The 22,652-nt window shown below is 40.7% G+C and overlaps 1 long non-coding RNA gene across 2 annotated transcripts in view, besides 2 other annotated features; it reads left to right on the forward strand.

The window, feature by feature from the left end:
- The window catches only part of LOC107984205 (uncharacterized), a 36,994-nt gene that overhangs the window by 1,858 nt on the left and 12,484 nt on the right, over positions 1 to 22,652 (forward strand). The gene's annotated exons all lie outside the window — the stretch shown is intronic.
- Positions 8,985 to 9,913: an enhancer, noted in NCBI's record as "H3K27ac hESC enhancer chr10:8233580-8234508 (GRCh37/hg19 assembly coordinates)". NCBI's record gives its function as "activates a minimal SCP1, AML or CMV promoter by ChIP-STARR-seq in naive H9 embryonic stem cells {active_cell/tissue: H9 hESC(naive)}" and the evidence as "EXISTENCE:reporter gene assay evidence [ECO:0000049][PMID:30033119]".
- Positions 9,914 to 10,842: an enhancer, noted in NCBI's record as "H3K27ac hESC enhancer chr10:8234509-8235437 (GRCh37/hg19 assembly coordinates)". NCBI's record gives its function as "activates a minimal SCP1, AML or CMV promoter by ChIP-STARR-seq in naive H9 embryonic stem cells {active_cell/tissue: H9 hESC(naive)}" and the evidence as "EXISTENCE:reporter gene assay evidence [ECO:0000049][PMID:30033119]".

The following is a 22,652-nucleotide window of genomic DNA, read 5'->3' on the forward strand; positions in this document are numbered from 1 at the left end:
TCTTACTAAAATCAAAAATTTTTTGCCAAAAGACGTCTTTGAGAAAACGAAAAGATAAGCTACTGGCTGGGAAAACATATTTTATATAAATAGCATATTTTACTTTGTTGCTATCTTTACCTATCCCTCTACTTTCTTTTTCTCTTTTCAAGTTTTATTTTGGGTTCAAGGGAATTCACTGTTATTATTACTATCTTAAGTTGCTGGTGTTCTGAGGACGATAGTTAGGGGAACATTGCCTCAGGGAGTCTATGTTTTTAATCTTCACTTATTCTCTTGAAGAGCTGTCCCCTTGGTGTCTCAGCAAGGGAGTTTCAACTTAGACATATTGAAGAACTTTCCATTGTGAAATTGTGTCACAGTTGAATGAGGAAGACTCTAGGATTTTTCCTTTCCCAGAATTTTTGTTCCATCGTCCACAAACCATGGTTTCAGTTCTCATTCAATCAACTTTCCTAAGGTTCTTGTTAAACACTCCGATTTGTGAATGAAAAAAAGTGACCTTTCAAACAAAGAGCTAACAATTAGAAAAAGTGTCATCAGCACTCATGTCAAACCAAGCATGGTTTTCTGCAACAATTGGGAGTAATATTTGGAGGGTTTTTTCTTTCCTTTTACTTCACATTATGGCCAAGAAGTCGGCATTAGCATTTTCATGCAATCTGCGGGTGGTGTTGCTTATCTCTGCTGTTATGTAACCCTCATTACTCATTAGGATGTGGTGTTCCTATCGTGTGGCCTCAAACATTTCTCAGACAACAGAATTGGATGTAATATTTGGTAGCAGAGTATTCAAGCTTACCAAAAACTTTTCACATTTGTGGATTTAAAAAAAAAAAGGTATACGCTACTTTCGCTGGGTTTTGTTAAAATGTTTCTTCTGTTTTGGCAGGTTTTGGTTTGAAGACAATCTAATTGTTTGAAAAATATAGGTTAGCATACCACCTAGGAAAGTCCCTCCCTGAAGCACAGTAGACAGAACAGGAAGTCACAAGTGGCTGGCAGAGATTGCTGCTCCTAGCTTCTCAGTGTTCTCCCAGCATGCACATCTCTTCTGATTGGTTTGAAATCCACAGTGGATAATGAGCAGGGAGAGGCAGCATTGATTTGTTCTCCTTGGGTTTCTAGATTACAGTAATTTTCACTGAGGCCATTGCTTGCCATTGTACATTTCTGGTAAGCTGAGTTTTGTATATTACCCTATGATTATGATTCTAGGCACTGGGGTGGTGGCCGTTATTTATTTTTGAATGAATGAATAAATGGATTGTACAAAGCTTGGTATCCTGAAAAAATGTGCACATGAACTCCAGCTCCATCAATAACTAGCTGCCTGCTCCCGGAGAGCAGAGATTTTCTTGGCTGTAGTTTCTCCTCTAGCTTAGATTACAGTCTTCTCCCGGTAAAGTTGACTCCATTTCTCATAGAATACAGCAGAGTCTCATAGCAGAGTTATGACTCAGTTTCTATACCATTCTTGTCCCTGGATTTGTCAGAATTCCCAGCAGACAAAGGAACAGAACTCGATCTGGCACCTTCTTTCTGTACCAGTCTTTACTCCGGACTCCAATCTTTCTCTCTTCGGCTACCATGTAACTCACCCCACCCTCTCCAGGCCATAAAAATATCCCAGAAAACAAAAATATTTCAAAAACATCTAAATGCTAAAAAGAACATGTCATTTACTATTAGCTTACTACGTTCCACATTTTCATGCTCTATTTTACTGAATCCACACAACAATTGTGTTGTAGTCGTGATTATTCCCATTAAATGACATAATGAGGCTAAAGGGGTTGTCCTGGACACAAAGCCACACAACTAGAAAGTATGGGAGCTAGGATCAGAACCCAAGGATCTACTTTGGGAGGCCGAGGTGTGTGGATTACCTGAGGTCAGGAGTTCGAGACCAGCCTGGCCAACATGGCGAAACCCCGTCTTTACTAAAAACACAAAAATTAGCCAGACATGGTGGTGCATGCCTGTAAGCTCAGCTACTCGGGAGGCTGAGGCAGGAGAATCACTTGAACCCGGGAGGCGGAGGTTGCAGTGAGCCGAAATCCTGCCTCTGTACTCTAGGCCTGGGTGACAGAGCAAGACTCTGTCTCAAAAAAAAAAAAAAAAAAATCCCAAGGCTTTTTGTCTTCAAAGCCTGTGCTGTCTCCTTACAAGAAAAGTGAGAGCCTTGGACCAGCCCCGAGGTTCCTTTTGGCTCTCTGATTCTCTGTGCCTATGTTGCCATTGTCTTCCCTACTCTGTATCTTACTCTGTGTATTTCACCACCTCTGATTTTTTTTAGCACCCCTAATTTTACAGCCCCAAAGCAATAGCAATCACGTGTCCTGATGCGGCAAATATTGAGAAGTTTATTTGTTAAGTCTGGGTTTGAGCCAGATGTCACCATGGTGTTTCTGCAGCCTCCTGCAAGCTGGGGGCTGTGTTTCATCTTTTCATATCTAGAATAACCCGTGAGGTCAGTTTTATTATTATTGCTACTGTGCAGGCAAAGAAAATGAGGCAAAGAGAGGCCACACAGCTACTAAATAACAAAGCCAGTCTTAAATCTAGGTCTTTTGTCTGGAAGTCAAGTGTTATTTTCATTCAATGCTGGCACAGAGCAGGCATTTAATAAATATCCATTGAATTAATAAATGAATGACAGGATCATGTCTTAATTTTTATTTATTTGTTTATTTATTTTTTCTGAGATCGAGTCTCTCTCTGTTGCCAAGGCTGGAGTTCAGTGGTGCCATCTCAGCTCACTTCAACCTCCATCTTGGGTTCAAGTGATTCTCCTGCCTCAGCTTTCTGAGTGAGTGGGACTACAAGTGTGCACCACCATGCCCTGCTAATTTTTCTATTTTTAGTAGAGACGGGGTTTCACCATGTTCGCCAGGCTGATCTTAAAGTCCCGACCTCAGGTGATCTGCCTGCCTTAGCCTCCCAAAGTGCTGGGATTACAGGCATGAAACACTGTGTTTGGCATGATGTCTTAATTTATTTTCTGTGCTCTTAAAACACAAAATGTAATTCCTATGCAAGGTGTAATCTCTTCATGCCTGTAATTTCAGCACTTTGGGAGGCTGAGATGGGAGAATTGCTTGAGGCCAGGAGTTCAAAACCAGCCTGGACAACATAGAGAGACCCCTATCTCTACCAAAATTAAAAAAAATTAGCTAGGCATGGTGCTGTGTGCCTGTAATCTCAGCTACTCGGGAGGCTGAGGTGGGAGGATCACTTCAATCCAGGAGGTCAAGGCTCCAGTGAGCTGTGATTGTGCCACTGCACTCCAGCCTAGGTGACAGAGTGAGACCCTGTCTCACAAAAAACAAACAAACAAACAAAAAAAAACAGAGAAAGAAGTATTTGTTTAATCACAATAATGATATGTCTCCTTTTATATGCTTCTCCCAATGTGGAACTTATTTCCCCATGATTATTTATTTGCTGAATTTTAAATAAGACGTCTCCTTAGTGATGGTTTTTCTTTTCCTACTGGTCTTTACCAATATGAAAACATTGCTTTCTCTTCCTTCTTCAGGGCCTCTATGGAATGATGAGAGAGCTGCCTAATTCTTCTTTGCCTCAGCATTCTTCCCCAGAAAAGAGAAAATAAGAGTAGCTTTCATGTGAGATAATGTGTATAAACTGTAAAGCAAGCACAAATGTTTATTATTATTTTTTATCCATTGTGCTTTCATAAGAAATGCCTTGAACAGCAGGGTATGCATTTGGAGCAGTTTTTTCCAGCAGAGGATGAAGGGGAAATTTTCTTGGTTCATCTCTCATTGTTGTCAGCATTATCATTACTATTATCAATGAACATTTATTGAGTACTTATCATCAGTGGGGCAGGGTATAAGATCTGCTGAGAAGCATAAGATATCCTCTTTGTAGCAGAGAGATTTATAATTTAATTAGGAAGACCACATATGCTAATGGATTAAATAACAATGTGGAGTATCCCAAGATAAATGCCAAGTGAATACTTTGTTTTATTTTGTTTTGTCTTTTGAGACAGGGTCTGTTGCCCAGGCTGGAGTGCAGTGGCACAATCACGACTCACTTACGGCCTCAACCTCCTAGGCTCAAGTGATCCTCCCATTTCAGCCTTTGAAGTAGCTGGAACTACAGTGCACCACCATGCTTGGCTAATTTATTTTATTTTATTTTTTGTAGAGACACAGTCTTGCTTTGTGACCCCATCTGTTGTCAGATTCCTGGCTTCAAGTGATCCTTCCTCCTCGGCCTCTCAAATTGCTGGGATTACAGGCATGAGCCACTGTGCCTGGCCACCAAGTGAATACTATGGCTACTAAAACCTACAAGAAGTCAGAGGGGAGACCACATTGAAGACAGTATAATGAGATGCTTGAGCTGACCTTGAAGGATGATTGAGTAGCATTTGGTAGTCAGTGACCCAGTGGTGCGTCTGTTGGCCAACGATTAGGGAACAGTTAGCTATGGAAAAGAGATGCACTGCAAGGTCCAGGCCTTAGTCACACTGTACTCTGGCCATCTGAACTAGCCAGTGATAGACCTTATCACTGTGGGTTTTCAATCCATCTGCTTTTCTTTTTTTGGATCCAGGAGACATTGACAGTATAAGGCCTAAGGAAAATTTGTTAAGTAGTTGTTTGTCATAATATTTATTGTACTCACTGAGATTAGGCTAGATACTTGAGATATGTGCATCTTTGTATCAACAAAGGCTGAAGGAGAAAATTAGTTTGGGGTTTTGTAATCTTGAAAATGACAGCCAGTAAAATAAGATTCACATATCTCCAGAATTGTTTATATCTGACTTTTATTTCACAATGTGTTCCACGCCCTGTATCTCAACCTACTGGCTCTTCCTCGCAATGAACAACTCACTCATTTTACACTTCTGGCCAGTAGTTCTGCTGGCAGCTCTTCTCCAGGTTGCAAGCTGACCATTTTGCACAGATTCTATGGAATGCAACCCTGACCTTGCGATTAATTAGCTTTGGGACTTGGTGCAAGTCACTTTCTGTTTGCAGGACTCAACCTCCCAGTTTAGATCGTGAAATAGCTGGGCTAGACCAATGTATTTCAAATCCCTTTTAGTAGCTAAACCATTTCCTCCTGCAGAATATTCTATGGAATCTCAATTTATAATAGTAGAGTTTTCTTTTTCCTTTTTTTTTTTTTAAATTGAGCAGTCCCTGAACCAGAATAGGTACAGAGAGGCTCCCTGTAACAGTAGAGTTTTCTGATGAAGACAGAGGTGAAACAGGGGTAAAGGAATGCAAAGTCCTGCCGATGGGCCTTTTCCTTAGTGGCTTTAATCACCAGAGCACTGTGGAAACCAGGTGGGGTACAGTTGAATTGAAGGACCTTAAAATCTGTTCCAGTGATAATATTTGGTTATTCGAACTCTGCTCATAGAAACAACATAATGGAATTACTTTACTTTATTATCCCGGCATGTCATTGAAATTGAATCCCATGAAAGTTTCATTTCTTTGGAAAAACTCCACGTCACAGAGACTATGGGACTTGATTTAATCTGGGAGATCACATCGTAAAACCCTTCCCTGAGGAAATATTTGAGCTGTTTTTTGATCTAATGTATTTTGTTTATTATCTGAAGGTTGCTGGTTGTTAGGAAAGGTCTTTAGGAGGGGGAACGGCATAGGTCAAGTCCTGAGGGGAATGGTGCACTTCACAATTAAGAACCTGGGGGAAGGTCAGAGGATGGAAGACAGAAGTTCAGGGTGAGAGTGGGAGGGAATTACATTGCAGGTGGATATAGAGGCTGAATCCTGCAAACCTAATGGGTCATGCTGAAGATTTAGGTCTTTAATCTCAGAGCAAGGGGCAGACACTGGAGGGCTTTTAAGGGAGGCATATGTGTTACAAGGTCAGGGTAGTGTTTTCTGTGTGGAGTGTGGATTGGAGTGGGGAGAGGGCTGAGCAAGAGTGTCGAAACCCCATCTCTATGGTGGGTGGATCACCTGAGGTCAGGAGTTTGAGACCAACCTGGCCAACATGGTGAAACCCCATCTCTACTAAAAATACAAAAGTTAGCTGGGGTGTGGTGGCGGGTATCTGTAATCCCAGCTACTTGGGAGGCTGAGACAGAAGACTCGCTTGAACCCAGGAGGCGGGGGTTGCAGTGAGCCGAGATCGTGCCACTGCACTCCAGCCTGGGCAACAAAGAGTGAAACTCCATCTCAAAAAACAAACAAACAAACAAATAAAAAAATACAAAAATTAGCTGGACGTGGTGGCGCACCTGCAATCCCAGCTACTTGGGAGGCTGAGGCATGAGACCACTTGAACCCAAGAGGCAGAGGTTGTAGTCAGCTGAGATGCCATCATACTCCAGCCTGGGAGAGAGAGCAAGATTCTGTCTCAAAAAAAAAAAAAAGGAGAGAGAGAGAAAGAGTGAGTGTGGAGAGAAGAGTTAGGGTCTAAGGGAGGGGCGGAAAGGGATGTGGGCACACCGGAAGATTTTCAGGAAGTGATATTGATGGGGCTTGGTGAATGACTTGAAATGCGTGGGAACGGAGAGAGGGAACAAAGGCCATTCCTAGGTTTCTGGCTTCTGCAGCTGGACAGATTGTCTTTCTATTTCCTGAAACAGAGAGGAAGACCACGTCCAGAGCGGAGAATCTGGCATTTTGGGGGAGGTTTCAGAAACAGGAAGGTTGAAGGGTGCAGTCATTGGATGGGTACTTTGATAGATGGATCTAGAATGCCGAGAAGAGTTCTGGGCTGGAGATGTAATTTGGGAAGTCGCTGATCTAATGATATTCATCTGGCAAACAGACCACGGGCATGGCAGAGATTGCCGAGGGAAAGAATACAGGATGAGAAGAGAGAGTCTTTTCAGAATCTCTACCATTTAATCACCTAGTCAAGCAGAATAAACTGGCAAGGCGGATGGGTCGGGTGGCTGCAGAGAGGACGATGGCTGGAGAGGGTGGGGTCACTGTGTGGAAGGCTTGAGCATTAAAGTAACTACCAGGGGATTTTGTAACGTGAGATCTACGTAGCTCTGGTGGCTGTTGAGAACCCCTGCAGTTGGAGAGTGGGAATGGAAGCTGGGCTGGGCGGGAAATGGAGGCGGAAGGTCTGGAAGAGGTAAAGGGAAAAGCGGCAGTCTCTGGAGGATGTGTGTAATTGAAGCTCAGTTCCTTTAAAATCTCCAAATCCATGTGATCTCTAGAGATGATGTAGAGGCTTGAACATGTTAATGCTAATGGAAGGATCTGGAAGAAGAGGAACAGTGGACTTGAAAAGAGAGAGACGAACTAATAAAGAATAGACGCTTCTCAAGAAGGCAGGAGAGAGTGGGATCCAAGCCACAAATGGAGAATGGGCTGACGGGCGTGCCTTTGACTCCCGGAGGTATTAGCAGAGTATCTTGCTGTGTACCTCATTAGAGCAGTCAGTTCAGTGGGCACTATATCTCAATTATTCAACCACGGCCGGGTGCAGTGGCCCACTCCTGTAATCACAGCACTTTGGGAGGGCTGCTTGAGCCTAGGAGTTCAAGACCAGCCAGGGCAACATGGAGAGACCCCATCTCTACAAAAAAAAAAAAAAAAAAAAAAGAAAGAAAAGAAAAGCCAGGTGTGATAGCATGTACCTGCAGTTCCAGCTACTCAGGAGGCTGAGGTGGAAGGATTGCTTGAGCCCAGGAGGTCAAGGCTACAATAAGCCCAGATCATGCCACTGCACTCCAGCCTAGGTGACAGAGTAAGATTCTGTCTGAAAGAAAGAAAGAAAGAAAGAAAGAAAGAAAGAAAGAAAGAAAGAAAGAAAGCCCAAACAAATCAAAATCTGTAATCTTCTTAGAGAGACATAACTTTGGGTATATACATTTTCTGTGTGTGTACTGTATAACTCATGTAATATTCCCCAGAGAACTAGCATTTGAAATACTAGTCAATTTATGTAAAACTCCAAGCATGTTACATAGCACATGGTAGATTCTCAACAAACATCTTTCCAAGGGAGGAGGATCGCTTGAGCCCAAGAGTTTTAGGTTAAAGTGAGCTATGATCGCACTACTGCACTCCAGCCTGGGTGACAGAGCCAGACATTATCTCTAAAAATAATTTTTAAAAAATCAATTATTTAACCACTGATTAAGCACCTACTGTATACCCAGTATGTGTTAGCAACGGGGGCTGCAAAAATGAATTACAGTGGAAGTACAACCAAGCTAGTGGGAGAGGTGACGCAGGGGTCGTGACACAGGGGTGTCGGAGTACCACTGTGTTGAATGGCCTTGTGTGTTCAGTGCTTAGCTTGGTGAGATCTGCTGAAACACAGGAGTTCTAGGCTCTTCTATGCAGTGACTCATCTCCTTACCTGAAACAAATTATTTAAATTTTGTGTGCCTCAGTTTCTTTGTTTACCAAGTTAGGATAATAATAGTGGCTTACCTTAGAGGAGCACATTGAGAAAAGTCTAATTGATAGGGTTTGGCTTTCTGTCCCCACCTAAATCTCATCTCAAATTGTAATTCCCTCGTGTTGACTGAGGGAGGTGATTGGATCATGGAGATAGTTTCCCCATGCTGTTCTCTTGATAGTGAGTGTGTTCTCACAAGATTGGATGGTTTTATACGACAGTTTTTCTCTGCTCTGGATCCTCTCTCTCTCCTGTTGCCATGGAAGACGTGACTGCTTCTCCTTCTGCCATGATTGTGAGGTTCCTGAGGCCTCCCCAGCCATGCAGAACTGTGAGCCAATTAAACCTCTTTCCTTTATAAATTACCCAGTCTTGGGTAGTATCTTTAAAGCAGTGTGAAAATGGACTAATACACTAATAAAACAACTGAACAGTAAATGGTAAAGGGTTTATTAGCAATTAGTGCTACATGAATGCTGAATTATGAACTGAGATTACATCTTTGTCAAAGGTAAAAGCCAGTTGGGCAATGTTCTAGAATTAAATCTCAGAACAACAGCTTACTTTCACAAGTTACCTAGGATAAAAACTTGTCCCCTTAATAATAGGAACATGTATTGAAAAAGTGCACAGTAAAAAGTCCAAAAGGAAACGTCATTTAAGCCTTTTAAATTGTTCTATGTGGATAAGGATTTTTTTTTCTTGAAGATATTGAGGAAAAGGAGGAGATTTCCTCATTCCCTCATTCACTCATTCACTCATTAATTCATCAAATATTATTTGTTGAACCTGACAGTGTTTAACAAATCTCTGATAATTCTTGGACCTCTCTGGCCATTGATACACTGGCTTTCAGTTTTCATAAGTGAGAAATAGGCCAGGTGCAGTGGCTCATGCTGGTAATCCTAGCACTTGGGGAGGCTGAGGTAGAAGGATTGTTTGGGGCCAGGAGTTTGAGACCAGCCTGGGCAACATAGCAAGACCCCATCTCTAAAATAAAATATGAAAATTAGCCAAATGTGGTGGCGTGCACCTGTAGTCTTAGCTTCTCAGGAGGCTGAGCTATGAGGATTGTTTGAGCCTGAGAGGTTGAGACTACAGCAAGCTATGATGGTGCCACTGTACTCCAGACTGGGTGACAGAGCAAGACCCTGTCTCTAAAATATAAGTTAAAAGCAAATAAACAAAAAACATAAGTGAGAATAGACCTTTTAGTTATTTTAAAGCATTGTGTGTACAACTCAGAGAACAATGAGCCTTAAAGTACATATCCAATTAATTAAAGCTAATAAATCTGATTGAACAAATATTAGTAACTCAATCTTTCAAAAGTGTCTGAGAGAAAAAGAGCTGCTATTTTTTGAGTGTTGACTTGTGCTGGGCTCTGTAACCTTATGTATCTAATCTCATTTAGCCCTCCTAGTAGCTTTGCTAATAGGCATCATTATCTCCATTTTACAGATAAGCAAAGTGTGGCTTTGAGAGATTGAGAAATTTGCTTATGTTTACACAGCTATTAACTCAACTCTGCCTCATTCCAGAATTCTTTCTCCTTCCATTCTCTGCTCTCTTTCAAGAAGTAAGAATCTAGGCCTCCTCCCCAGCCTTCCATGCAAATAAAACATATGTGGGTGTTTTTATAAATGCTCACTAAGTATTTACTTTTTTTTTTTTTTTTTTTTGAGATAGGGCCTCACTCTGTCATCCAGGCGGGAGTGCAGTGATCACGGCCCACTGCACTTAATCACGGCCCACTGCAGTGATCATGGCCCACTACAGTAATCATGGCCCACTGCAGCCTCAACCTCCCCTGGCTCAGGCGATTCTCCCACCTCAGCCTCCCAAGTAGTTGGGACTACAGGTGCATGCCACCATGCCTGGTTAAGTTTTGTATTTTTTTGTAGAGACAGGGTTTCACCATGTTGCTCAGGCTGGTCTCAAACTCCTGAGCTCGAGTAATCCACTGGCCTTGACTTCCCAAAGTGCTGGGATTATAGGCCTGAACCACCGTGCCTGGCCACTATTTGTTGAATGAATAAATCAGTGAAGCAGTATTTATCAAATTGTAGTAGTATGTCACAATTCTAAGGCCAAGGATAATTTATGTAAATTTAAAAAATCTATTTAAATTAAGGAGTTATTGTTAAATTTTTATGAGTGATAATGGTATCATGGTGATGCTTAAAAAAAGAATCCTTAACTTTTGGAGATAGACTCTGAAATGTTTACAGATGAAATGACAAGAATGTCTGATATCCACTTCAAAAATGATGAGATGGAGCGGAGAGTTTAGATTAAACAAGATTGGTCGTGGTTTGATAAGTGATGACCCTTGATGTGTACCCAAGGGCTCACTTGACCATTTTCTGTTATCGTATACATTTAAGATTTTTCATAATAAAATGTTTAAAAATTAAGTTTCAGTGGGACAATAAATAAATAAAGGGAGTAAACACTGTGGGGAAGTCTCCTAGTTTTTTATTTTTAAATAATTGCTTTATTTTCACCAAATTATTAAACATAACTCTCTATGAAACCACTTTGGGGGAGGGTATTTTCTGTATCATTTATCTTTTAAAAGTTTACTCTCTTGATGCAGAGAGAAGGATTGATTTCCCTAATGTATTGTGTGAATTTGAGTGAGTCATACCCTTTGTAGGTGGGTTTCTTACCTGGAAATGAGAGAATCAGTCTAGATAAATATCTGGGATTCTTTCCATTTCTAAAATTCTATAACTCCGACTAACCAGGAAAATACTACGTGTGTCATTCCTTTGCTGTTTAGTCTTTAGCCCTTAGCACCCATATTCATGGACAAACAGCATAAGAATCACGACACACCTTGAATTCAGGGGATTAGTCCCCCTACATCACGCCTTGAATTCAGGGGATAAGCCCACCTACATTTAAAACTGCCTTTAGGGCAGAGCGCATTCCTAGTAGTTCTCCCTAATTCTAGCTGACCGAGTAGGGCTTGTCACAGAGGGCAGGAGATTTAAGATGCAAACAGTATTGGTTATCTTGAAGAAGACTCCTTATTTCCTGAGAGATAGAATTAAACCAGAATACGACTGAAATGAAAAGCCTTCTTTTAGAGCACTCCACGTAAATGTTGAGTAGATACACCTTTCGCTTAGATACAATCCAATTAAAGCCAAACTGGTTTAAGGAATACGCAAGGGTACAGGGTTGAGCAACGACGTTCTCATGTGAATTCAACAGGTAACAGACCCACCTAGGAGCTGATGTGATTTGACAAGCTTTGTCCTCAGGTGTACTGTATTTGCGCATGTAGCAACTATGTCTCCACCCACAGAGCAGTGCCAAGGGCCTAAAAAGACTCATCTAAGAAAATGGTAACAAATCAGAAACATGCTTAAGATGCTGTCCTGTAGCACTGAAAAAATTTGTACCCAGAGCTTGTATTTGTAGAATCAGGATTTCCTATTTTCCTGTACTTCAAATCTGTCTGAGGGAGTGCGCTTTTACCATTATTATAATTTACCATGTATTTAGTATTAAAAAACATATTATTAACATGTGGCTCACACCTGTAATCCCAGCACTTTGGGAAGTCAAGGCAGGCAGACTGCTTGAGCCCAGGAGTTTGAGACCACCCTGCGTAACATAGCAAGAACCCATCTCTAAAAAAAAAAAATAATAGCTAGGCACGGTGGTGCACATCTGTAGTTTCAGCTACTCAGGAGGCTGAGGCAGGATAGCCTGAGCCCGGGAGTTCGAGGCTGCAGTGAGCTGAGATCGCACCACTGCACTCCAGCCTGAGAGACAGAGTGAGACTCTGTCTCAAAAAATAAAATAAAATAAAACAAAACAAAAACCAAAAGCAATTTGGAACCCTCCTATGGAGACATAACCCTTGGGCATATATTTTGTGTATGTGTACTGTACAACTCATGTAATATTCCCTGGAGAACCAGCATTTGAAATACTAGTCAATTTATGTAAAACCCCATACCCATTACATAGCACATGGTAGATTTTCAAGAAACTTTTCTTTTTTACGTTTCAGATGTTCTCTCTCAGCCTTCACCTCACTGAGTCTTCTTACTCATCATCTCTAACTTCTGAGTCCACTGCTATGCCACATGTGATGGCTAATTTACTTCAAGAAAGCTCATTGCTTACTTTTTCTGTGGTACTATTTAAAAACTTACAAATAGGGAATGTTTCTTTTGGATGTATGGTCAACCTCTGCTTCTTTTCTTTTCTTTCTTTTTTTTCTTTTTTTTTTTTTTTTTTTTTGAGACAAGGTCTTGCTTTGTGGCCCAGGCTGAAGTGCAGTGTCACAATCTTGGCTTACTGCCTCTACCTCCTGGGCTCAAGCAATCCTCCCATCTTAGCCTCTTGAGTAGTTGGGACTACAGGTGTGCGTCACCATGCCTGGCTAATTTTTTTTTTTTTTTCTGAGACAGTGTCTTGCTCTGTCACCCAGGCTGGAGTGCAATGGCGTGATCTCAGCACACTGCAACCTCTGCCTCCCAGGTTCAAGCGATTCTCCGCCTCAGCCTCCAGAGTAGCTGGTATTACAAGTGCGCACCACCATGCACAGCTAATTTTTGTATTTTTAGTAGAGACAGGGTTTCACCATGTTGGCCAGGTTGGTCTCGAACTCCTGACCTCAAGTGATCCACTTGTCCGGGTCTCCCAAAGTGCTGGGATTATAAGCGTTCCACTTCTGTTTTTTATACTTATAAGCCAAAAAATGAAAATAAAGGCATTAGTAAATCCTCAGTCAAATGGCTGTGGGGGACCCTCTTCATCTTAGTGAACATAAGGAGCTTCTTGGGATTAACTTGGATCACATTTACAAAGATACAAAGCTCTCATTTTTGAATTATGGTCATAAAGTGCAGAAGAGAAGCAGAATGCAGGTTTTAAGAAATGCAGCGTAAATCTTGAAGATTCTTTTCTTTTCTTTTCTTTTCTTTTTGAGACAGTCTCACTCTGTTGCCCAGCAGGCTGGAATGTGGTGGCATGATCTCGGCTCACTGTAACTTCCTCCTCCCAGGTTCAAGTGGTTCTCCTTCCTCAGCCTCCTAACTGGGATTGCAGGCATGTGCCACCATGCCCAGCTAATTTTGAATTCTATTTTTTAATTTTTTAAGTAGAGATGGGGTTTCACCATGTTGGCCAGGCTGGTCTCGAACTCCTGACCTCAAATGATCTGCCTGCCTTGGCCTCCCAAAGTGCTGGGATTGCAGGCATGAGCCACTGCGCTCAGCCAAAGATTCAGGTTTTAAACTTTCTCCCTCCCTGTCTCCCTCTCTCTCTCCCTCCCTCCTTCTCTCTCTCTCTTTCTCTTTTTCTTTCTTTTTGTAGAGACAGGGTCTCACTATGTTACCCAGGTTGGTTTTGAACTCCTGGACTCAAGCGATCCTCCCACCTTGGCTTCCAAAGTGCTGCGATTAGAGGTGTGAGCCACTACACCCTGCAGGATTCAATTTTTAGCTGCATGTAAAATGTAATCCTCCTGGAAAAGAATGAACAAATTGTAATGATGCAAATTAGAGCTATCACTGTAATGACAGTGGTTTGAAGGCAAGGTTGCCATTATTGTTTATGATTAAATTCTTGCATCTGCCATGTTGCTCCTCTGATATTACCATATGTTAGGGGTGTTTGTGGGACTAGCATGAAGATACCCATTAAAACACCAGCAAAGACCTAATAAAACGGCCTTTAATTGAACTATAAAAGATCCTAAGGATAAAGTTGCATTTGATACAGATCTCTCTCTCTATCTATATAATCTATATTCATGTTTACATACACATCCATAACATGAATTTAATTGTTTACAATCTGTAGTTATACTATCTAAATTATTTCTCACTCTGTCACTCAGGCTGGAGTGCAGTGGCACAATCACAGTTCACTGTAGCCTCAACCTCCTCGGCTCAAGCAATCCTCCCACCTCAGCCTTCTAAGAAATCGGGACTAAGGCGCATGCCACCTAGCCCAGCTATTTTTTTTTTTTTTTTGTATTTTTTTTTTGTAGAGACCACGTTTTGTCATGTTGTCCAGGCTGGCCTGTAACTCCTGGGCTCATGTGATCAGCCTGCCTTGGCCTCCCAATGTGTTGGGATTACAGGTGTAAGCCACAGCACCTGGCTCTGATTCTTTTAAAATTTATTTTTATTTATTACTTATTATCCTTTTTTGCAGAGATGGTGTCTTGCTATGTTGCCCAGGCTGGTCTCAACATCCTGGGCTCAAGTGATCCTCCTACCTTAGCTTCCCAAAGTGCTGGATTATAGGAGTAAGCCACCGCAGTCAGCCTTTCTGATCTTAGTGACACCTATAATAAACATTATTTATATGCTTCTTTCTGATAAATGAAATGTTGAATTTCTTGTTTTAAGCTTAAAATAGTCTCATTTGGAGGTTTATTAACTCTAAAATACTCTCAACAACTTACCTATATCAACTTCTACTGTAATCAAATGAATGTAAATAGAAATAAAAATATGATAGCATTGCAACCCTACAAAATTGGCAAAGCCCAAAGAAATAATCACACTATATTGGCCAACAATGTGAGAAATGAAGGAGTTTCATTTACCGCTGGCAAGAGTGCAAATTGATGCAACTTTCTGGTACAGCAGGTTGGCTCTAAGATTTCAAAGTCTTAAAAGTGCTCATAACACAAACCTAACAATTCTGCTTCTCTTCTAATAATTTACTCTTAGGAAATAGCGACAGAAAAAGGATAAATATATGAAATATACATTTTAAACTGTGAAGCCCTAGAAGCAATCCAAATGTCTAACAAAGAGTACTGGTGAAATGAAGTCTGGTGTATCCATATGATAGCCTACTATGTAGCTAATAGAAATAGTTCCGTGGGAGAATGTTTCCAAATAGCAAAAAGATTCAGGATATGTTGCTTAGTGAAGATAGCAGATTACAATACACTATTTACTATATGGTTATAATTCTATACCAGAGATGTATAGAAAAATGGAAAATATTAACTTAATTTCCGACTAGGATATTACAAGTGTTTTTACTTTTTTTTGTTTTTTTCAAAATTCCCATAATTTCTCCAATAAAAAATATGATTTTGGGCCAGGTGCAGTGGTGCATGCCTGTGATCCCAGCACTTTGGGAGGCCGAGGTGGGCGGATCACTTGAGGTCAGGAGTTCGAGACCAGTCTGGCCAACATGGTGAAAACACATCTCTACTAAAAATACAAAAATTAGCCGGGCATGGTAGTACACACCTGTAATCCCAGCTACTCAAAGAGGCTGAGGCACGAAAACCACTGGAACTTGGGAGGCAGAGGTTGTAGTGAGCCAAGGTAGTACCACTGCATTCCACCCTGGGCGACAGAGTGAGACTGTCTAAAAAAAAAAAAAAGGTTTTAAAGGGAGGAGAATGCAATAAAATTGTAAAAATCAAAGTTTATCAGACATTGAAACTTACTACTATTTTTGAAGGCTGGGTGCGGTGGCTCATGCCTGTAATCCCAGCACTTTGGGAGGCTGAGGCAGGCGGATCACCTGAGGTCAGGAGTTCAAGATCAGCCTGACCAGCACGGAGAAACCTGGTCTCTACTGAAAATACAAAATTAGCTGTGTGTGGTGGCGCGTGCCTGTAATCCCAGCTACTTGGGAGGCTGAGGCAGGAGAATCGCTTGAACCCAGGAGGCGGAGGTTGCAGTGAGCCGAGATTGCACCACTGCACTCCAGCCTGGGCAACAAGAGTGAAACTCCATCTCAAAAAAAAGGAAGAAAAGAAATTTATTACTGTTTTTATAAACTTAATTAATTATATTGATCTTTGGGTATATGATTAATACTTGCCATGTAAATATTAACAGTAAGCAAACCTTAATATAATTATACATGTTTCTAATATTATGTATCGATTTTATGTAACTATATATAATGTCTCTCTATGTATGATACACTATATCACACCTATCATATAGATATGACATGATGCCTTAACGCTTCACAGCTTATAAAGTGCCTTTTCAGAGATAATCTTATTTAGCTCTTAGATCATGTATAAAACGTATTATCTCCATTTTATGGAAGCAAAAAGAGAGGTTAAAAACTTTAATAACCTGCTCAAAAGTCTCTGCTGGTCAGGCAGACCCCCTGATGTCTGTACCTCCAGAGCTACTTCTGCGTCACCCAGGTGGGTTTGCTGTATGAGGCTGTGTTTGGGAACATGACTTGGCTGGCAGGGTATCTGAGACGGCCACTTTATTGGAATTCTAGGATATCAGAATTGCTTCTTTTTCAGAAAGGGCGTGGAGTAGGACAGTCATTCTCTTTGGTTAAAGTTAACTGCAGGATAATCAGCTGCTCTGCAAATTTCACTGGGCTTTGTTTCCTATTCTTTCTTCCTTTTTAAGCCTTTGCTTTTCTTTGCATTTAGAAAAGTCTGAAAATCGTGGCTTGTGCCAGCTAAACTAACGGGCATGAAGAAATACACACCATCCTCCTTGGTTGATGGTCAGAGTTTTCAAGGAAAATCCATGTGATAGCAGCGAGTGGGGTCAGAGTGACAGAATCCCAAGGACAAGATTAAAGTCCAGGGAAAAGGGCTGAGAATCCTCGCATCAGCTGCATTTCCCCACCTGGGAAATTTTCTTTCAGAGATAAAGCCCTCATTTTGGCATGCATTAGAATGACCTGGAGAGCTGGTTACAACCCACCTTGCTGTCCCTTCCTCACTGTTCCCCGACCCCCCACCAGAGTTTCTTTATTTTGAGACAGAGTCTCATTCTGTTGCCCAGGCTGGAGTGCGATGGCGCGATCTCGGCTCACTGCAACCTCCGCCTTCCAGGTTCCAGGGATTCTTGTGCCTCAGCCTCCTGAGCTGAGACTACAGGCATGCCACCATGTCCAGCTAATTTTTGTATTTTTAGTAGAGACGGGGTTTCACTATGTTGGCCAGGCTGCTCTCAAACTCCTGACCTCAGGTGATCAGCCCGCCTCGGCCTCCCAAAGCGCTGGGATTACAGGGTCACGCATCAGGCCTCCCACCAGTTTCTGATTCAAGTAGTTTCAGGGTGGAGCCTGGAAATGTGCATTTATAATACGTTCCCAGGTGATACAGAGAATCAGATGGTGCTGTTGGTCCCAGGACCGCACTCACAGAGCTGCTGCTTTAGGAGTTTCAGGGGGATATTTCTCTTGCAGAGGAACAGTATCCGGTACTTAAGGATAGAAAGATGAGTAAGAGCTCATAATTACAGAACTATGTGGTAAGGACTGCAGTGAATACGTGTGCTCAGAGGAGTCTGTGCTTAGCAGCGTCTTGGCAGGATCCAAGAATGCTTTATGGTGGTCCTGTTCAAAGGAGGAGGGGTCTCATTGGGCTTGAAAATAATTCCAAGCAGACACAACAGGAAAGCAAAGGCATAGGTAAAGGAGATTATTGTGATGTAAGCTCTGAAGCAGTCTTCGGAAGTAAATATTCTTCACGCAACCTATTTCTGTTGCTTTCTATAAATAGCGTATTGGCTATTATTTAATTTATATATATTTATATATATTATTTAATTTATATATATTTATATATATTTAATTTATAATAATAATTAAATATGCAGTGACTTATACCTTAAATGTTCCAAGTTACTTACTTGATTAAAAAAACTGATTTTAGTTGGTTTCTTGTTTAGTGAACTGATAAAAGATATGATGGCTTTCTGAGGAGTGACACTAGGTGGGAGTTGGAGATTTTGGCAGGGCACTGCTCGGAAAAGACGAGATTGCTGCCAAGAAAATCCAATAGGAGTAATTCAATCCGCGCTTCCTGGATAATGAGTTTATGTACAAATTTAAAAATATGAGATTCAAGGACTTAGAAACTCACTTGAGAGATATTTCCATAGGTCAGTTATAATTGATTTTATAATTGCAAAACGGCCTTTATAAAAGCATAGTACTGTCATCTGTGAAAATCATTAGGTAATTTTACTGTGTTAAAAGAGTAGGTTACATGACGTTTAACGTCCATTTCAACTCTAAGATTTTTATCACATTATGACGAATACATGATTTTGAATTTAAAGATTTATTTAAAAAAGAAGGTAGGGTGCAGTGACTCACGCTTGTCATCCCAGCACTTTGGGAGGCCGAGGCAAGCGGATCACCTGAGGTCAGGAGTTGGAGACCAGCCTGGCCCACATGGTGAAACTCCATCTCGACTAAAAATACAAAAATTAGCTGGGCGTGGTGGTGGTCGCCTGTAATCCCAGCTATGCTGGAGGCTGAGGCAGGAGAATCACTTGAACCCAGGAGGCAGAGGTTGTAGTGAGCTGAGACTGCGCCATTGCACTCCAGCCTAGGTGACAAGAACAAAACTCCGTCTAAAAAAAAAAAAAAAGGATGGTGATTTTAGCAAAGGAGGAATGAACTGTAGGCAAAGTTCTAAGCGTGTTCTATGCACCATTCTGTTTCATAGCACAGATGAAACATAGTAGGTGTTTAAGTAAATATTTAAAGTGTGGTTGTTTGATAAAGGATTTTTTTTTTTCACAGCATACTTGTGATATTGTTTCTGAAGACATAAACAACAAAAAATTTCAGAGATGTTCCTATATGAGCAAAAAATAAAAATAAAAAATTGAATCCCTCATTTAAATCATTTGGAAAGTAAACGACTTTGGCACATTACGTCCAGATATTTCAGGCCTTAAAATTATTTTCTTTCTGAACTCTTTAGAAAATTACTTCAAATCTCCTTTTTGTGAAAAAGTTTCAAAAAACAAGTGTCAGCTATTACTTATGGAAAAGTTTTCTTTTGGAAGTGCTTGGAGCTCCAGGCTTGACTTAATATGTCTGTGTCTCGGTGCATTGTGTAAGCTGAAAGGGGGTCAGTCTATTGCTTTTGACATGACTTTTCTTTTTTTTTTTTTTTTTAGATTTAATTCTGTGTTTCCATTTGCCTCCATAGAGAGAGTTTAAAGAACTCTGCCAATTCTGGCCTATGAAAGTGCATTAGTGAATTATTTTATGTTTTAGTGTGTAAATTTAAGGGGTATAAGTGTAGTTTTGTTACATGGACATATTGTGTAGTGGTGAAGTGTGGGCTTTTGGTGTATCCATCACCTGAATAATGTACATTATAGCCATTATGTAATTTTTTATCTCCCACCTCCTCTCACCCTCCCACCTTTCCTGGCCTAAGTGTCTGTCATTCCAGACTCTATTTCCATGTGTAGACATTATTTAGCTCCCACTTATACATGACAACATGCAGTATATTTTTTTTTTTTTGAGACAGAGTCTTGCTCTGACACCCAGGCTGGAGTACAGTGGCAGGATCTCAGTTCACTGCAACCTCTGCCTCCTGGGTTCAAGCAATTCTCCTGCCTTAGCCTCCCAGGTAGCTGGGATTACAGGCACGTGCCACCACACTTGGCTAATTTTTTGTATTTTTAGTAGAGATGAGGTTTCACCGAGTTAGCCAGGATGGTCGTGATCTCCTGACCTCTTGATCGGCCCGCCTCTGCCCCTCAAAGTGCTGGGATTACAGGCATAAGCCACTGTGCCCAGCCGAGAACATGCAGTATTTATCTTTCTTTTTTCTGAGTTGCTTTACTTAAGATAACAGCTTCTAGTTCCATCCACGTTGCTGCAAAAGACATGATTTCATTTTTTTTATGGCTGAATAGTATTCCATGGTGTATATATACCACATTTTCTTTATCTAATCATCTGTTGATGGACCTACAGGTTGATTCTATAGCTTTGCTTTTGTGACTAGTGCTGAAATAAACATATTAGTGCGGGTATCTTTTTGATATCTTGATTTCTTTTCCTTTGGGTAGATATCCAGTAGTGGGGTTGCTGGATTGACTGGTGATTCCATTTTTAGTTTTTTAATTCTCCATACTGTTTTCCATAGAGGCTGTACAAATTTACATACCCACCAACAGTGTATAAGTGTTCCTTTTTTTTCCGCAACCTTGCCAACATCTGTTATTTTTTGACTTTTTAATAATAGTCGTTCTGGCTACAAAATGATATCTCATTCTGGTTGTAATTTGCATTTCTCTGATGATTAGTGATGTTGAGCATCACTGAGCTTTTAGAAACATGACAGAAATCCCAGTATTTTGAGATTTGAGGAAAAGCTCTCAAACAATGGAAAAGTTTGTGCTCTTCTGATCGGCTCAGCAGGTGTAATCTGGCCTTCTGCTGGTAGCATTCTAGAGCTGAAAAAATCATCTTACCTTAAGTCTTTGATGGCATTTGCCATCAATGGCATGAGATGTTTATGAGGTCCCACTAATTTTGAAGACTTGCAAAAAATATAATTTGATACAAGAAGTGATTTTCGCTTATGTGCCAGTCTTTGGCCAAGATTTAGCCTAAGAGCTTATCTTCTCACTGCGAATGTGGCACAGGGACCAATTGCCAACCAGGTAAGCACATAGAATAATTTCGAGGTCTTATAATGTGGCGAAGTGCACACAAAAATATTTAATGATGAACTGAGAGAAGAGAAAAGGAGACATAGAAAAAGAGAAGTTGAAGGAAAGAGGGAGAGAAAGTTGAGGAAAGGAAGAGGAGGAAGAGGGAGATTTAACTGAATTTCATCCTATATTCCCAAGACTGATCATTATTTCCATGGAAAATCTCTGAAAATAACAAGAGTTACCTTCTTCTAAAATAACAAGAGTTACAGAATGGGGCTTATTGTCTGACTATAATTTCTTAACAATTGTGCCATTAAAATTCAGTTAATAAACAAGGTAGTTACCAGCACATTTTTACCACCAAGCCAAATACTGCACCCAATATGTGGAAAGCATTTATCACCTAATTGATTATGTTTATTAAACAGCTATATTTAATAAACAATAACTTATTTTTACACAAAAATCCAGAGGCACAAGCTGCTTTTTCCTTAATTCTGTCCATACCAAATTATCTGAAATGATTTCAAATTGTGTAATTATCCTAGAGTACTGTGAAGTTTCTAGAAATCATCCACAAATTGTTTCTTTAATAAAATAAAATAATAATCTGTAAAGAAGCATGGACAGAACTTAGTTCTCTAATAATATAAAATAAAATGTAAGTTACAACTAACTGGTTAGAATTTACTAATTTCCCATAATTTGTTTGGAAAATGATTAACCGCTGTGAGCAGTACCTCATACCTATGTTCCCAACACTTCGGGAGGCTGGGACAGGAGGATCGCTTGAGCCCAGGAGTTCGAGATCAGTCTGGGCAACATAATGAGACTCCATCTCTGGAAAAACAAGACAAAAATTAGCCAGTTGAGGTGGCATGCACCTGTAGTCCCCGCTACTTGAGAGGCTGGGGCGAGAGGATGGCTTAAGCTTACGAGGTTGAGGTTGAAGTGAGCCAAGGTCATGGCACTGCACTCCAGCCTGGGGGACAGAGCAAGACCCCGTTTCTAAATAATAAAGAAAAAAATTATTAACCATCTTTCACACATTTAAAGAAATTCATAGGACATATTTGTAAGGTACGAGGCGTATAAAGGTTTTCTGGATAGGTCACCTTTATGTAATATTTTTGCTGTCATGGTAATGAATGGGAAAGTGCAGACTATGTTTTAGGTGGATTTTGTGAAATCTCTCAAACTGAGTTCAAGTGGGACATAGTTCTATAGACATTTGACAACATGCTTTGAAAGACCCCAGTGATGAAATTTTGTTCCCAGACTGTTATTCTTCGTATTTCCTGTTTGTTTTATGCATAGTTACTTTCTGGTCTTCCAATATCCTTGAAGTAAGACAACTGGTCACTCCTTAAGCATCATGTGCAATAAGAGGTTACGTCACAGCCACTTGCAATGGGCGTGTCTATGTGAAGTGTGCTGATATTATTTGAAATTAGGAATCTGTGTTTCGGCTTGTCCTTTTATGATTAAAAAGACCATCCATCAACATGGTAGAGAAGAGCCACACACTTTACAAAGCCCTGGAAGGAAATAATCAGGTTCCTGTTTTAGGTGACAGAATTAATTGTTCTAAGAAATTCTGGCTTTTCTCTTGTATGTGCTCAGAGGTGAACCCTTCCACATGGTTGATCTAAATCCAGGAAAATGTTGTATGCATTACATACTGTAAATTTACTACAGAGCAAATATCTCCAGGAAAGGACTTGGCACATAGATATCTGCCTTGGTCTTTGTGTACCTATGTAATACTTTGCACTTAGTAGGCTGTCAAGCACTGTTTATTTACTGTGACTTAATCTGCTGAATTGGTAAGATTCCTGTATTGGCTTACTCTTTAGT

Source organism: Homo sapiens, chromosome 10 (genome assembly GCF_000001405.40).
Source record: "Homo sapiens chromosome 10, GRCh38.p14 Primary Assembly".
Taxonomy (NCBI): domain Eukaryota; kingdom Metazoa; phylum Chordata; class Mammalia; order Primates; family Hominidae; genus Homo; species Homo sapiens.